Source organism: Homo sapiens, chromosome 10 (genome assembly GCF_000001405.40).
Source record: "Homo sapiens chromosome 10, GRCh38.p14 Primary Assembly".
NCBI classification, from domain to species: domain Eukaryota; kingdom Metazoa; phylum Chordata; class Mammalia; order Primates; family Hominidae; genus Homo; species Homo sapiens.
Window position 1 is genome coordinate 65,562,607 of NC_000010.11, and position 17,239 is coordinate 65,579,845.

General features: G+C 32.7%; 1 long non-coding RNA gene across 1 annotated transcript in view, besides 1 other annotated feature; it reads left to right on the forward strand.

The window, feature by feature from the left end:
* Positions 4,332-4,532: a silencer, noted in NCBI's record as "peak984 fragment used in MPRA reporter construct". NCBI's record gives its function as "represses an SCP1 promoter by STARR-seq MPRAs in K562 erythroleukemia cells {active_cell/tissue: K562}" and the evidence as "EXISTENCE:reporter gene assay evidence [ECO:0000049][PMID:32103011]".
* The window catches only part of LINC01515 (long intergenic non-protein coding RNA 1515), a 195,117-nt gene continuing 186,696 nt past the window's right edge, over positions 8,819-17,239 (forward strand). Inside the window, exons 1-2 of the long non-coding RNA NR_120647.1 lie at positions 8,819-8,973; positions 10,329-10,450. This is a non-coding gene — a long non-coding RNA (long intergenic non-protein coding RNA 1515). The remainder of the gene's footprint in view (positions 8,974-10,328; positions 10,451-17,239) is intronic.

The window sequence follows — 17,239 nt, forward strand, 5'->3', positions numbered from 1 at the left end:
TCCTTTACATTGCACTTTTATGTTATGTAGTGACTTCTTTCCTTGAAACTTACAAACCAATCTCTGCTAGCTTCAAACTTTTCTTCTGCAGCTTCCTCACCATTATCAGCCTTCACAAAATTGGGGAGAGTTAGGGCCTTGCTCTGGGTTGGGCTTTGGCCTAATAAGGGAATGTTGTGATTGGTTTGATCTTCTATTCAGACTACTAAAATTTTCTCCATATCAGCAATAAAGCTCTTTCTCTTTCTTATCATTCCTGTGTTACTGAAGTAGCACTTTTAATTTCCTTCAAGGACTTTTCTTTTGCATTCATAAGTTGGCTGTTTGGCACGCAAGGCCCATCTTTCAACCTATCTCAGCTTTTCACATGTTTTTCTCACTAAACTTAATCACTTCTAGATTCTGATTTAAAGTGAGAGACGTGTGACTCTCCCTTTAACTTGAACATTTAGAAACCACTGTAGGGTTATTAATTGATGGAATTTTAATATTATTGTGTCTTGGTTAATAGGGAGGTCCAGGCAGGGGCTGAGACAGCCAGTCAGTAAAGCAGTCTGAATGTACAGAACATTTATTATTTGTTTGCTGTTTTATATAAGTGCAGTTCATAGTACCCCAGAAGAATTACAATAGCAACATTGATAAGCACTGATCACACATCACTATAACACATATAGTAACAATGAAAATGTTTGCTATATTGGGAAAATTGCCAAAATGTCACACAGAGACACAAGCGAGCACATGCTGTTGGAAAAATAGCATTGATAGACTTGCTCAATGCAGGGTTGTCACAAACTTTCAATTTCTAAAAAGCTGATATGTCAAGGGCAATAAAGCAAAGCCCAATTAAATGAGGCAGGTCTGTTTTGATAAATTGAACTTCATTAAAATTAAAAACTTCTGCTCTGAAAAGACATTTTTAGGAAAATGTAAAGACAAGCCATGTGTTTTGCAAAAATCAAAATATTTGTAAAAACACATACCATAATATATAAAAAACTCTTAAGACCCAACAATAAAAAATAAAACCCAATTCAAAAAGCGAGCCAAAAATCTAAAAAGACACCTCACCAAAGAAAACATACAGAGGCACAAGCAAGCTTATGAAAAAGTTTTCTATATTATATGTCATTAGGAAATTGCAAATTCCCTAATTTCCACTATTTCGTTTACTAACCTCAATGACATACCCATGAAACAGTCCCAGTTGTTGGGTTTGTTTTTCTATGTTGAGGGGTAGGAGACATACAGCCATAGCTCTCAATTAATTGGGCTACTCCCTTCCTTCATGATTTAATTATTCTAGAATGCTTGAAAAGGTTACATTGCAGAACCCTGTGACTGCTCTCCACAGATTAGAATCCTGAATAATAGTATAGTTTATTAACGTGGTTAGCTTACACTGTGTATCTACCATACATGATTCAACAAATACGTGTCAGCTCTGAAATACACTTGAAATATATTATGCAACCATATATACATCCTCTAATTACCCAATGAAGTAAATAATGAGACATTATCACTACATAAAAACAAAACCTTCACAAATGAATGTTTGAGAACACTCAAAAATATTTACCAATACTTATCTTAAAATACAGTTGAAATTTGCATTTTTATGTGAATATTAAATTGAGATAGATAAAATCTGAATTTCCAATTCTTAAAGTAATTCAGGCATTTCTAGTTCTTAATATCTCATTGACAGAGTGAATAGGATTATATTTTCACATATCTGTTATTGAAAGAGCCTGTTGCACAGAAATATAGATTTTTCAGTTTGGGGAAATTACTAAATTTTTTAGTATCTTCCTTTTCTTTAATTATTTCTTCTTTTTCATAAATCCAATATTGAATATATAGAGATATTGGTATTTTACTTGTGGGCACAAGGAAATTGCAAAATAAAAATTCTACTTAGACAATTTTCTATAACAACATCATCTTTCAAATGATAAGAATAAATAAAGCAACACATAATAAGAATTCTTAGCATCTTCTGTTTATATGAATATGAAGAAATCTGCCTATTTTGGACTCCTATGTGAATGTGAACATTCACAAGCCCATGTTTGTATGTGTGCTGGGTTAGATGAGGATCAAGGAGATTTGGAATGCAAAGCAGACTAGCATTAATATGAACACAAGAAATTACTTACTAAAATTTCAGTGATACCATCATCTATTTACACAAAGGCAAATGCATAGTTTTGGTTGGTTTGATATTAATAATACAAAATAAAAATGAACATTGAAATGTCAGTGCTTGAAGTTTAAATCACTAAGGTCTTTTGGAGAGAGTTTAGTAGTGTTTTAAAATACACACACACCACACACACAAATACACACATATACACACCTAAATTGTGTTAGAAAATATTGTATATTAAAATGTAAATAGTGGACACTCTTCTATTGTAGTATACATACTACAATATGTATGTATACTTCTACATCTAATGTATACATACATTGTATATTCATTTTATACTCAATTTGCTAAATTAAGTAGAGTATACAAATTCATTATGTTTTAATTAGTGTAGCTTTTATAGTACATAGTTCAGTGAAAGCCACAAAATAAAGAGAAGTTTCAAAGTCCTTAGATTCCAGAAGTAAGTAGTTAAAAACCATGGGAATTTACTGAATAGCATCTAGCCATGATAATTCCTGATGAGCACACACAAATAATCAAGAATGACCATTAAATGTATGGATACCTTTAAAGCTAAACTCTGGGGAATGTATGCCTTCATAACTTACCAATATCCTCCATTGTTAACTGAGGTATGCTTAAGGACCTATGGCTGGCACTTACCAAAATAGAGAAATAGAAAAACAGAAGTGAAAGGTTTATGAACCATATACTTTTGCCATGTAAAGAATTATAGTCTATTTCATAGTTTTCACAGCCATTAACTAATTCTAGTGTTACTCTGATTAAATTCAGCAAATAATACTTAAGCACACCATGGTAATCTCTGTGAAGAAATGAAAACTAGTGGTTCTTGACTTCGAGATGTTTTCACTGTAAAGAAGGATGAGTTAGGCTATAATGGCAAAATCATACTACTTACCAACCATGAACGAATCTAGTATGGTGTATATAGATAGTTATATACATGCTTAGAGGTCGACTTTGTGTGGTTAACTTAGTATTACTTTTGAAAGAGCAAAATATGACATTATGGGTAGGTTAATAAAGCAGATATTTAGAATGACAATAAAGCAATATTTTAAGAATTTTTGGAGGAATAAATAAGAAAAAGAATGAATGACATAATTTTTCTAGTTTACTATCTTCATGAAGAGATAAAATATCTGTAGGAAGTGTCATGAACACAATTGATAAGTAATGTACTCCAAGAATACAATGAGAATGTACAAAAATAATCTGTAAAGCATTAAGACAGGTTGAGCAAGATTGTCATTTGAGTCCTGTGGAAAGAAAATCAGACTGGTATTTTTTTCTAAATGCTTTTCAAAATAACAATGGAAAAACAATTAAAAACTCCAAGCCTTGCTCAATGCCACATTATGCAGATAGAATAGGATACTCTCAATTTTCTTGAATTTATGCATGAAACAGTTTTTTATCTTTACATAGAAAACAATGACTTGTCTGTGCAATTTTTCTTGCTTTGATATTCTAAAACATGAATATTCTTTATTAATTAAAAAGGTGTCCATGGTTGCAGATGAGTTCCCTATAAAATATCTCTTGCTAACCAGTAACCAAGAAAACAGAATGCTTCATATGATTTTGAACGTGAACCTATCTCAGCAATCCTATTACAAAATCCAATTATGCTTGTCTCTGCCTTTATGTTTCTTTCGAATGTTTTTAACGTACTTTTTCATCTCCACCTCAGGCAGTCAGGGCTCCTTTTCATTTCGCCTTCCTCAAAAACTTCTATACTTGAACCTCACAAATCCTGGAATTTCAAAAACTAAAAGGTATTTCCCAATTAATTCATTAACAGAACATGTTGAAGGTATAACAACTTTTGCTTACTCTGAACAGAATGGAGGAGTTAATACATTTCTTCCATCTGAAAAGAAATTGTAAAGATCTAAACTTTCTTTGAATATCTACTTGCTCTCAAATAATTTGGTCAGTTGTCTTACTTTAACTTGAAAACTATATTCTTAACGTACGTACACAATTCTAAAAAAAGTTTTAGTCTCAGTTAGAAAAGTCATATGTAAATAATTAGAGACAGTAACTAATTATTAATGTCTTTTTAAAAAATGTTTATGTATATATAATTTCATCTGTTCTAAAAATAATTAGGCAAAGCAATCATGTTAGAAGACACTTCGCTCTGATAAACTGTTGAGATGTTAAAATCAGGAGAAATTGGTAGAATTACAGAAACTACAGTTTGGAAGTAACCTCAGAGGGCATCTCATTTAACTGGCTGCCTCATGGATTGATGCCTTCAGAAAGGTTTAGGAGTAGTGACTGTGCAGTTTCTGCTTCAGTACTTCCAGAGAAAGAACACTCACTCTTAATACAACCAGGCTTTTCAGTTTCTGGAGAGCACAGTTAGAAATCTCTTTCTATTCTTCAGATCAAGGTCTACTTTATAACTCAAACAGTAGAACTCCCATATATTTTTGTAAACAACTTTACATTTCATAGCTTAAAGTTGAAATAAAAATGTGCATCCGTGGCCCTAACTAGGATAAAGTAATATTCAAAACCAAGAGTGGCATCTGACATTGTTCACTTTTGAGACTGAGTTTTGTTTTTGTTTTTTTAAATCAGGCAATATGGTAATCTGTTAGCCTAAGAATATCTATACTTACATGTTCAAACTATAGAATAATTATTTCTTATAATGACTGCCTAGTAGACTAGAACAACTAGGGGGCATGTGGAAAGTTAAGAAAAATCATATTACTTGAGGAATATATGGCTATATTAGTGTGTGTGTTTGCATGTGTGTGTGTGTCTATATAAATGCTTGTAACTGTGTGGATGTGTCTGTGCAGATTTTATGTTGTCTATAGATGTGTCTGTGTGCATGATGAATAAGAAAGGAGTAGAAAGTAAAGATTTATTGTTAGCTCTGACTTCTTCCTTGCATATCATTTAAACTTAACAGCAAATAACACTGGAGAGAACACATTTGACTGTTATACCTGCATACTTGAATCATCTGTGTTCTTACTTGAATATGGGACAAATAGATATTTATAAACAGCTTCAGGTGAATTGTATATTATGTTGAATATGTATATTAGATAAAATCCAAAGATTTTTCTGATGTCATGTTGTGTGTTTGTTGGGATGTGTGGGGTTTTTGTGTGGGGGTGGATAACAATCATTTCTGTTTGGGGAGCCATGCAATTTGACCACATGTAGCCAAGTTAAAGATTGGGACTCCCAGCCCAAACTAAAAATTATGGGTTTTTTTGTATAGAAGAAGTAAAAGATTTTGCCTCCAAAATGTTAAGAGAAAATGAATAGATTTTGCAAGCACATACTATTACCTTCTGAATATCATATTTTGAATATTTTAAAAATTTGGAATTGAATTTTAAATATCATTTATACATTTGAAATCTATGTTTTCTAGATACCCAGAAGGTAAAACCAAAGGATTCATAAAAATATATTGGCAATTTTACTAATTAGAAGTTCTATACACAAATAAGTGAAACCAAAGATATGAGGCTTTTTAAAAATCATTATTATTATAAGAGCATAGATTTGGTTGTCTTTGTTCTATTTTCTGTGCTAAAATTGCCAGCCATCTTGAATATGGCATCTATTATATAATTTATATAATTTGAATATGCCAAATAGTAAATGGTCAATTTTATTTTATAAAAAAAAGCAATTATTGAATTTTATGTTTTCCATTGTCTAAATATATGCTATTGTTTGCCATACAAGTTTAGAAACGTTAAAAAGACAGTTATAAGAAATTAAATCTTTAAATAATTACAGGCTTTGGAGTTTTTTTCTTTCCTTTGTGTTCTTTTCTATAGCTTTTAAAGTTTCTTGGATAGAGGACCCCCTATTTACTTCTCTTGGCTTTGATATTTTTTGGACTCATTGCACTTAGAGCATACTCTCTGATACATTGCGGTTTACTTAAAAAAAATTCTAATCTGGTGCTCCACACCTTCCTATAACTAACTAGACATTTAGCCTTATAATTTACATAGGTTAAGATATAAATCTTGAAAAAGAATATGCAATAACATATCAGACAAAATAAGCATACTTAAAATACATAAAAGGACTCCTAAAAATTGTCTATTAAATGTCAGATAACTAATTGTTTTAAGTGCAAAAGAAATAAATGAACATGTCACAAAAGAAGATCTAAGAATGCCCAATTAACACATGAAAAGCTGTCTAACAGCTTCAGTCAATGGGAAAATGCAGATTAAAACCACAATAAGATATTGTTGTCCAAAGAACCTACAACATTTTACCCTCCCACCAGCAACGTATGAGATTCATATCTGTTTTACATCTTCACCAACATTTTGTATTGTCAGTACCCCCCAACATTCTTTTGGATGTGAAATAGTATTTTACTGCTGAATAATATTCTTACACATTTCTTTTCCTGTGAGAGTTTCTTATAAATATAAATTTACACTTATTCCGTGGTTAAGCAATCCCACCCCTAGGTGTTTTCTCAAGAGAAATAAAACAAACATATGTTCACAAAATGAATTTTACAAAGTATCATGATAGCCTAATTCCTAATAGCTAAAAGTAGAGTACTCCAAACTTCCATGAACAGCAAAATTTTTAAAAATTTACTTTTATTCTTATTTTTTTATTTTTAACTCAGCTTTTTATCCCAAGTCAAGAACTGCTAAACAAATTATGGCATAACAATGAAATGGAAAGCTACACAGTAGCAAAAAGGAAAAAAAAATAGGAATGCATGCAATATTATGGATAGATTTAAAAATTATTATGAGTAAAAGAAGCCACTTTCTAATGTTGCTGGCTATTAATTTTTACAAAGACATTTCTATCACTTTCTACATAGTTCTAAATATGTGCTATCCAGTATGTCCAATAGCTATATGTCAGCGGCTATTACCACCAACAAGGAGCTGTTAAGAACTTGAAATATGGCTTGTGTGATTAAGAAAGTAAATTTTAAATTGTATTTAACTTTAATTAAATAAATGTTAAGATTAAATAGCCACATGTGACTAGTGGGAACTATACTGGACAGCACAATTCTATATCTCGTTTAGAGTGGTAGTTAAATGGGTGTGTACAATTGCCAAAATTCATCAAGCTTAAATCTGAGTAGTTTATTAAATTTATATTATACCTAAAAAAGGCAAAAAAGTTGCAATGTTTATTTGTGAAAGTTTCCATTTAAAAACTAAAACAAGAACTCAAAATTAATGACATAGTTTTGAGGGCATATTCAAGAAGGTAAGAAGAATAAAGCTTCACGTATCCTTAGAATTCAAATAAAACCCGACAGATTAAAACATTAAAGGAGAATCTCAGACCTAACTCAGTTTCTGTCTTTCCAAACGTTACTTTATGTTTATTTCATAGGTGGAATGTTGTACAGTGTCATCTGTTGCTACCAGTGAGTGACATCTGTGATTAATCGCATTGCCTTAATTAAACAGCAATTGCCTGGATGTGATCACCTGCAGTGGCCAGCCTCCAATCAGATTAGCTCCCAAACTCCAGTTCTCTCATTGCAATTAACTTCACTTTTCACATAGGTCCCCAGAGAATTTCAATATGTCTGATGTCAAGAACGGAAAGTGAGACAGCCAGGTGGGAGGGGGTCCCTGGAGAATCTCCAACCAGCCTGCGCACTGGGAATGCGCACTGGAGTGAAAATACAGAAGTTGGTGCCCTTTGCAGCAGCCAGGAGTCCGACTCCTCCTCTTCCTGTGTGGAACCTGGAATTCAAACGGCTGGGTAGGAAGCACGCTAGCAGGGGCCTCTGGCCTTGCTGAGGGTCCCTGTTTCCCCTTTTCCTTCCTTTTCACCCAACAAAACCCTGCTTTACTCACCCTTCAAACCATCTATGAGCCTAAATTGTCGTGGTCGTGGAATGGACAAGGACCCAGTCTTTAGCTGAACTAAGGGAAAGTCCTGCTTTTTGGCGCGCAACAGGGGAGCTCAAGAAACAGTGAGTGAAATGGGGACTCAAAACCTCTCACTGTTGATCCTAAGCATTTTCATCCTCAGACTACTGAGGGTGGGGGAAACACGACCCCAAACTCCGTTGCTCCGTTGGGGGTCGTCGGGGGAAAGGCCTTTTCCTTCCTTTTTCAGGACAGACAGGAAAGCCGGGGCTCCTCACTCCCCCTCCCCTCTGTGCCCGGGACGGGATGCATGGCCCAAGGGTCCCACACAGCTGGCTAGATGGTTCTCAGACACAAGCCACCGCAGCCTTCCTTTTCCCCTGCCAGGGGGTTAAACTTTATCAGAGAGTAATTAAGCTTTAACCCTGCTGTTGAAATCACTTGCAGACGAATAAGAAGTTCTTCCCCAGGCATTTTTAAACCTTTTTTCACTCCCCTTTTCCACCTCCTCAACAAGTAAACCCTTAAAGTTTTTTTTTTGTTTGTTTGTTTGTTTTTTTTTAGAAGACACTTTACTAGGCCACTCCCTCTGCTCCCCAGCTATCACTGTATGCTCTGCAAAGTTTTGCTTGTGAAATAAATCCTCTATTTTGTTTTACATCCTGAGGCCATGGCTTATAACTCTGGCGGCAAGGATTTGTTTAGCAATCCTGCCTTAGGGGATGAGCCCTCTCTAATTCAATATCTGCATGTCCCCTGTCTCTTAAAGGGCCTCACTCACGGCATATGGAACTAACCACGCCCCTAACTAAGAAGGCACACCTTAGTTGCAGTTAGCACACAATTAAAGCAACTCTCCAAGTTTTACCTTAAAGTTCAAAATTGCTAGGAGTTGAAACTACTAGAAATATATTTACATGCAAGGTGAGTAAGAACAGTAAAATGTGTTTTTTAATAAAAGGTTATAAGAAGGCATGGAAATGTAAACTTTTGCCTAGGGTTAAAGGATTGTTTGAGTTAAATTAGGAAAAAGCTGAAGGTTCAAAGAAGTGGTGGGAGAACTGTGGAAATTAATCTTGCAGAAGAGATTCTATGTGAACATATTGACTAAATTCAGAAAAGGGTATTGTTTGGTTTTTCTGTAAATTGAAATAAAAGCATAACAAGATTTTCCTAAGGTGCTAATCTGCTCTTTGGCACATTTGTAAAGGGTTATAACAGGTTTTTGCTTCTTTAAAATTTCTGAGTCATGATTTTGGCAAAATAAATAACTTTTGGTAACCTGGAATTCTATTTCATAATATCAAGTTATTTAAACCTCAAACATTTAACAGCCTTCCCAAAATCAAACCTCAGTTTCAAAATTGTCTTCCCTGGCACCTGGCTTTTCAAATATGTCAGAGGGCCCCTGAAGTGTCCAGAGAAGAGAGGTAAACAGGATTATTTGACATGTTTAGGTACATGGGATTGCAAAAATTATGCTCAGTCTTCTTTAGGTTGTATCTGGGTGAATAATCCTAATACATGTTCCAAAATTGTATGAGATTTCTAGAATTCTAATGGCTGAATATATGCTATCAGTCATAATTAAGGTCGTTATGTTAAGTTATTGTAAACCACGGAGATAACCAAGCTTCTTTGTCAATCGTGTTTCTAACTGTAAGTACCCTGGACATTTTGCTATTCACAGACAGTTGTTGCCTTGTTTAATCCTTCTCAAAGATGGTTTATAATGAGCTATAGAACTTTAACAGGTGCTCTCAAACACAGGCTTCTGGTAACTTTGGAAATTGTAACATTAAAATAAAGAAAAATATACAGGACTCATAAGGAGCTGAAATGCTCACAAATATCAAACAAAACAAGAGTTAACTAAATGGACTGAACTCAGGAAACTGAAACCAGGCTGGGAGCGGTGGCTCACACTTGAAATCCCAGCACTTTGGGAGGCCAAGGCAGGTGGATCACCTGAGGTCAGGAGATCAAGACCAGCCTGACCAACATGGCAAAACCTTGTTTCTACTAAATTAAAAAAAAAAAAATTAGCCGGGCATGGTGGCACATGCCTGTAATCCAAGCTACTTGGGAGGCTAAGGCAGGAGAATCACTTGTACCCAGGAAGCAGAGGTTACAGTGAGCAAGATTGAGCCATTGCACTCCAGCCTGGGTGACAAGAGCGAAACTCCATCTCAAAAAAAAAAAAAAAAAAAAGAAAAGAAACTGAACAAATCTTTTTAACCTTTGCTTGGAATATTGCTGATCCGTGTTTTGTTTTTCAGAGTCAAAGAAACTTTGAACTATTTATGGCCTTTAATAATTAAGTAAGGTATACTCCTGTGATCAAGACTTGGAGCATATTTGTTTCTCTCTGCCTGGTTCCTCTAGAAATTGGAAACTATCAGTGAGTATTTTTATGACAATATAGTTGTTTGCATCAGTGCAGTAAGAGTCCATTTTCAATGGCGGAATTCTTTTCTCACTCTTTTCGTTGTTTAATAATTATTATAGCAATAATAATAATAATAAATACCAATTATTACATTAACTCTCTGCATGTCTATGTTCTTATTGCATTTTCTTATAAGAACACAAGACGTATTGGATTATGACCAACTCTAATGATCTTATTTTACCATTTTAAATATCCTATCTCCAAATACAGTCACATTCTGAAGCACTGGGAGTTAGGATTTCAACATAGGATTTTGAAGGGGCACAGTTCAGTCTGTAACAGTGGTTAAAAACCCAAGTTCAGAAACCAAATTTTCTTTGCACAAATTGCAGTTTTGCAGATTAGGAGATATGAGACTTTGGCAAACTTGCCAAGACCTTGGTGACACTCTTTATGTCTTCTTGTTCTCATCTTTAAAATGAGAGGTGAAAGAGGATTAAAAATTATTACATAAAAACAAAAGACTTAGGATGATGATGAAATGCTGGTAATATATGTTAGATATTAGTATTTTTTATCTCAATAAATTCAATTGCTGTAACTCTTGATTCCTCATCTTGCTACTGTGCAATTGCCCTCCTCTTCCCTCAGTGTCACCCATCAAAGGGTAGATAGTCTCATTACAATTCTTACTTCTATATTTCTTTTCTGATTGATCAGTTCCGCCTCTTTATTGACACTGGGATTTATATGCATTGACTTAAAAATGGAGAAACTACAAGCAGCATTAGAGGCTGTTTTTTAATTAATGAGTCTCTCCGCTTACACCATCAAACTGAAGATTAGCTGTTGATTTATGAGATACCCTCAGCTTGTATCTTGTGCCACATCCAGATCATTGCCAATTCATTTCCAGAAGGAGGATCAGTACCATTATCTGCTCAGTATCTCTCATTTCAAGCACCTCTCAGAGAGAGAACTGAAACATCTTTATCATTACCAGCAGTAAAGCTAAAGCAAAAAGCTATTCTCTGAAGCCTGCTGAGGGGATGAAATTTTTCAAAAAATACATCTCTGGGAGATGGGAGAAAACCTTTTCCACACCTTCCCTGAGAGAAGCAAAAGGGATGTGAGAAAGGGAGGCATTCTCTTCTGCCAGGGTAACATACTCCTCCTATAGTAATCCCACATCACTGAGGGCCCAAGTTCCCAATGCTTCTGCTCTTTATTTCATCTAGACAGCCATTCTTTCTTGCTTTTTTTTTGTTTTTTTTTGAAACGGAGTTTCACTCTTGTTGTCCAGGCTGGAGTGCAATGGCGTGAACTCTGCTCACCGCAACCTCCCAGGTTCAAGTGATTCTCCTGCCTCAGCCTCCTGATTACCTGGGATTACAGGTGGCTGCCACCACGCCTGGCTAATTTTTTGTATTTTTAGTAGAGATGGGGTTTCACCATGTTGGCCAGGCTGGTCTCGAACTCCTGATCTCAAGTGATCCACCTGCCTTGGCCTCCCAAAGTGCTGGGATTACAGGCATGAGTCACCATGCCTGGCCAGCAGCCATTATTCTTATACACACCCACAGACCTAGAGAAGTTAGTTTGAAGTTTCTGTCTGTGCCATATGCTACACTTGAGACCAGTCCCATTCTCCACTTTTCCCATGATGTGAGTGTCAAGTTTTATCCAAGCCTTCACTCCAAACTCATCCTCTGATGCATTATTAGTTCTTCCTTCTAGAGCCCTGTTTTCCTTTCTTTACCAAGGAACTCCTTCCTTTCTTGAACAAGTTAGTATCTGGTCCCATTCATCAGAGCTATTCTGATACTATTGAGTCTATATAGGGTAAGGGTTAAAGCTTGTATTCTTTAATTACCCAGGAAAGGTTGCATGCACTATCACAAGCAGCTGTCAGGTACAATACAGTATCTGGCATGGGTTGGGAGGTAGAGGGTAGGGGGTATTGTTGAAGACTTTGCTAAAAAAAAAAAAACTTAGGTTTTACTGAAGATGCAAATTTAGTCAGTAAAGGGAGGGATACAAAATTCTCTCCCCATCTGCTCTTGGTTCATATGTTACTAAGCTTGGAAAAATTAGATGATTTTTTTAACCAGTGGTTTCCCCCCATTTTGTATTCATCTGTCTTATAAACCAATGGTTTTATAGGGGCATATTTTTAACTGCATGGAAATAAGAATATGTATATAATGAGTTTGTTTTACATGCAAAGTTTAACAGAAGTCATAATATTAAGAAATACAAAAAATTTGGAAAGAATCTAATTAAATTAAGAAGAGAAAATAATAAAAAGTGAAACTATAGGACAACAAAAAAATAAATATGTGGTAGTTGAGACTTCAGGATTAATTAATTCATTTTCAATACTTTTTAACAAAATAATTGTTATATCTACTATTGATTTAGAATTTACTAGGAGCGAGGCATTTCTCTAAATTTGTTTATATTATTATAAATCTTTATAAGTATAATATAAAAATTACTATGTTTATTTTACTATATTTATTTTAAATAATTTATTTATAAATTCACTATATTTATTTTAAAGATAATGAAAGTGAGGAAGTCACAGAGCGATTAACTTTATCACACACAGCTAGTTAGTTGTAGAGCCATGGTATGAATCTGAATCTACAAAATTCCAATTCTCTAAATTTTTTTCTAAGTTGTTTTATGTTTAAGCTATAGTTCTTAGTAATATATTTATATTGTGTTAATTTTTAACACAGCAGTATACTATCTTTTTATGTGTTATTGTTAATAAAATTATATGGCCTTCAAAAAATGTTTAAATATTTTTCAAAGCTTTTTTATATATATACATATAATCATTAAATTTATTTGTGATTTATGTGGCACAAAGACAGGAAAGTATATATATGACAACAGGTAAAAGAATAACAAATCTAAAAATATAATAATGGCAAGAAATTAAACGAATTTCAGAGGATATCATTTTATATTTAAAAAATCAAGAATTAAAGTTTTACAGTATAGAAAAAGAAAGACATGTAATACAAAAGCTGATGAATAGGAAGATGGTTGATAGAAAAAATAAAAACGATGTTGAAAAATAAAAATAATGTCAGAAATAAAATACCATTGTAAATTAACAATTAGAGCAACACCAGTATTATCTTAACGTAATGAAATTGTATAATTTCGTAAAATGAAAAAAATTATAGTACCCAGTTTCAACAAAGGGAGAGGAGAGCAAGCTTGTTAACATTTGCAAAAGTACAGGAGGAAACAATAAATAGATAAAAATAGTCATATTAATGAATGATTATGGAGAGAAGATACCAGAAAGCCAACAAAGATATGATTGGTGTTCTTGATGTAGGAATCAGAAAAGGAAAAAAAGAAGCAACATTCATTCTTATTTCTTTCAGCCTTAGGAACAAGTTAATTTGAAAATGTAAAGATAACTATATAAAAAGATAAAGAAATACCAAAGTCAGTATAATACTAAGTAGGTCAACATTTAGATATATGTTGGCAATTTCAAGCAGAAAAAGAAAATGAAAAACCTATGTAAGAAAAATGAGGACAGATTCAGATGTATTGTACCACATAAAATGACAGAAGAAAATGAAATAATCTCTTAATTCGTTAAGAGAATTAAGGAGGAAACAATTGTGACAAAAGACATATTAGCCAGCAAAGATTTTTCACATATAAAGATAAAAAGCACATCAAAACAAGTATTTTTTAATGTTTAAGGCAATAATGCATGCATGAAGCAAAAAACGAGTGATCATAAAAACACATAACATTTAAATAATCTTTTGAGAAACATAACAATGTGCAATGGGATGCACATCAAGATAAACAATTCCAAAACAAGAAAGCCAAACACAGAAAGTGTCACAGTTGACGCTGAGACTGTTGAAACATAAAATAAAACTACTTTTTGCAAGAACAGCTAGAAAATACAACATATTAATAACTATTAATGAAGAATATGTGACATAAAAGGTAAAACAAAATTAAGAAGTGTCTAAAATCCTAGACTATTCCAAAAAAATGGTAAAGATGTTAAAGTTTCATATTTGAGATGAACTAATTTATTCATAATATACACGTACACAAACATATGTATGTGGAAGTCAATACTATTTCATGCTTTGAGCTTATAATTAGATAAATATGTAAAATATGTCATTGCTATTTTTGTTTTTAATAAAAATTTAACAAGTAGAATAATTAGAAAGAGAATGCATAGCTTAACAAAGAGTAGTGAAACAAACCAAAATTACAAAAACTCTAAAAAACAGGGGAGGGAGATATATTTCATCAAATAAAAGACAGGGAAAGAAAAAAACCAAAAGAAAGCAAAATATAGAAAAAAAAGAATTACAGTTCTGAATACTAAGTTCTTCATTAAGAGAAAGTGATCCTCAAATTTAATAAAAACCAAATATATTTATTTGAATTCTATAAGAAGTGCAATCAAAACCACATTATAAAATGGACACAAACATTTTAAGTATTATGATTTGTTAAAAACAATAGTGGCAAAATATAAAATAAATTTTTTTCGTCTTTTTTTACATGAAACATATAAAAAAAAGACATCTATACCTAATTCTTGATAATTAAGTAATCAAAAATAAGTATTCTGAAATCAAATATTATAATTTTAATGTTGTATTGATTTAATTAAGATGTGTCTTAATTGATATAATATAATGTATTGATTTAATTAAGATGTGTCTAAATCCATAATAGGAAAATAAAAATCTTAAATTTTCCCCTCCAAAGTTATACCATATATTGTATTACTAGGTCATTTATTAGGGCAAAACTTTCTTGTATATATATATTATTATCAGTTATTCTGTGGTATAGAAATATATACCTCTAGATATTTAACCAAAATTTTAAACAATAAAAGAATTCTTGAAAAATTAACCTTTAAGCCATTTATTCTAAATAAATTGAATTTTTGAGCAAAGACATATGTAAAATGAGTACTGCTATATTATTTTTAGTATAGAAACATGACATGCCCTATGCTGTAAAATTGCTTAATAATAACCTACTATAGATAGAAGAATTGCCATGGCATATCTATACCTTATTATATTGTACATGTTATATACACATTTAAATATAAATGTTTTCTAAAATAAGATTATATTTAAGTTTACTAAGTATAAATATTTATTTACTTTGGAGATACGTAAGGTTTCAACTGATTATTTTAACTGCCTTTTGGGGGCTTTTAACATTCCATCATTCTTAGAGAAAAGTTCTTTCTGATGGCAGTCTCTAAGGTAATGTAATATAAATAAAAATTATTTGTAGAATGCAACAACAGAAACATTTCTTAAAGAGTTTTCTTAAATACTAGACCTCGTTTTGCTTATATTATCTGTATAAGTTCTTCAGAACTTTCAGATCTCAAGTAAATTAAGTGCTGAAGTCAAATAAAACTGGCTCCATAATGATAACACTCAGATATCAAGTACAGATTGCCTGCCCCCAAAGTCTGTGTTTTACATATTTAACCATGAATTTGAAATTGTTATTATCAAAAGGTTTATTTTAATAGCTATCTCTGCCTATTTGTATTTTCTCTATTTACATATCTTTATTTTTAATTGACAAATACAATTTATATATATTTATGGGGTACAACATATACCTTAATAGATGTATATGTTGTGAAATGGCTAAATCAAGCTATTTAATGTATACATTATGTCATATATTTTTGTGGTATGAACACTTGACATCTACACTTTCAGCAATTTCCAAGAATACAATATATTGTTATTAACTGCAGTCACCATGAAGTACAATACATCACTTGAACTTGTTCCTCCTGTCTAACTGAAATGTGTCCTCTAAGCAACATCTCCCCAGTTCTTCCAGCCCCCAGCCTTTGGCAACAAGCATTTTACTCTCTGTTTCTATGAGTTTTATGTTTTTAGATTCCACTTAAACCTCTTCCATTAAAGAGATAATATAATATTTGGCTTTCTGTGCCTAGCTTATGTTTAAAAAATATCTTGAGTTTTTAAATTTGATTTAAACAAGTATTAAGCATACTCCCAACATTCTGATAATTCCTTCACCTTCTTTTAAAGTTGAATTTTCATGCTCTATGGAATAGTTACTTTGTGACTGTCTATTCCCACTCTTTTCTCTCTAGTTTTATATACCTTTTCCTATGTTGTCTATGACCTACTTAAGAAAACAAATGATTCCATTGTACTACTAGGTTCGTAAAGTGTTTTAGTCATTTAAAGAAGCTTTTAGTGAATACCTACTATATGTCACATATACTGAAGGTGCAAAAATAGGTCAAACATGGATTTGCTCTTAAGGAAATCACATATATGTCATCATTTATATTTAACATTCCTGTTTTAAATTGCAAATCATTGCCAGTAGGTCTATAACAGAAGTCCAGGCATCCAGCTGTGGTAGCATAGAAATAGAGGAATTAATAACTCCTTTGGACAAAATCAGCAAGAAATTCAGGTAAAGCTGCACTAAGAAAACATCTAATAAAAATTTTAAAGAACATTTTAGATCTAACAAATGGCCATGTGGAAAGATAAAAGTGTACAGAAAAGAGGGAGAGAAGAGAGAACTAATATTTATTTAAGGCCTATGATGTGTAAGACACTATGCTAAGTGCTTTACATGGGTTATTATCTGACAATAGGTAAGTAGTTTGACTTTTATTGTTTTAAGCAGGGGAGTGATATTATCCAATACGTATTTTATAAGGATTAGTCTTGATGTTGTAATGTAGAGGGTAAGTATGCA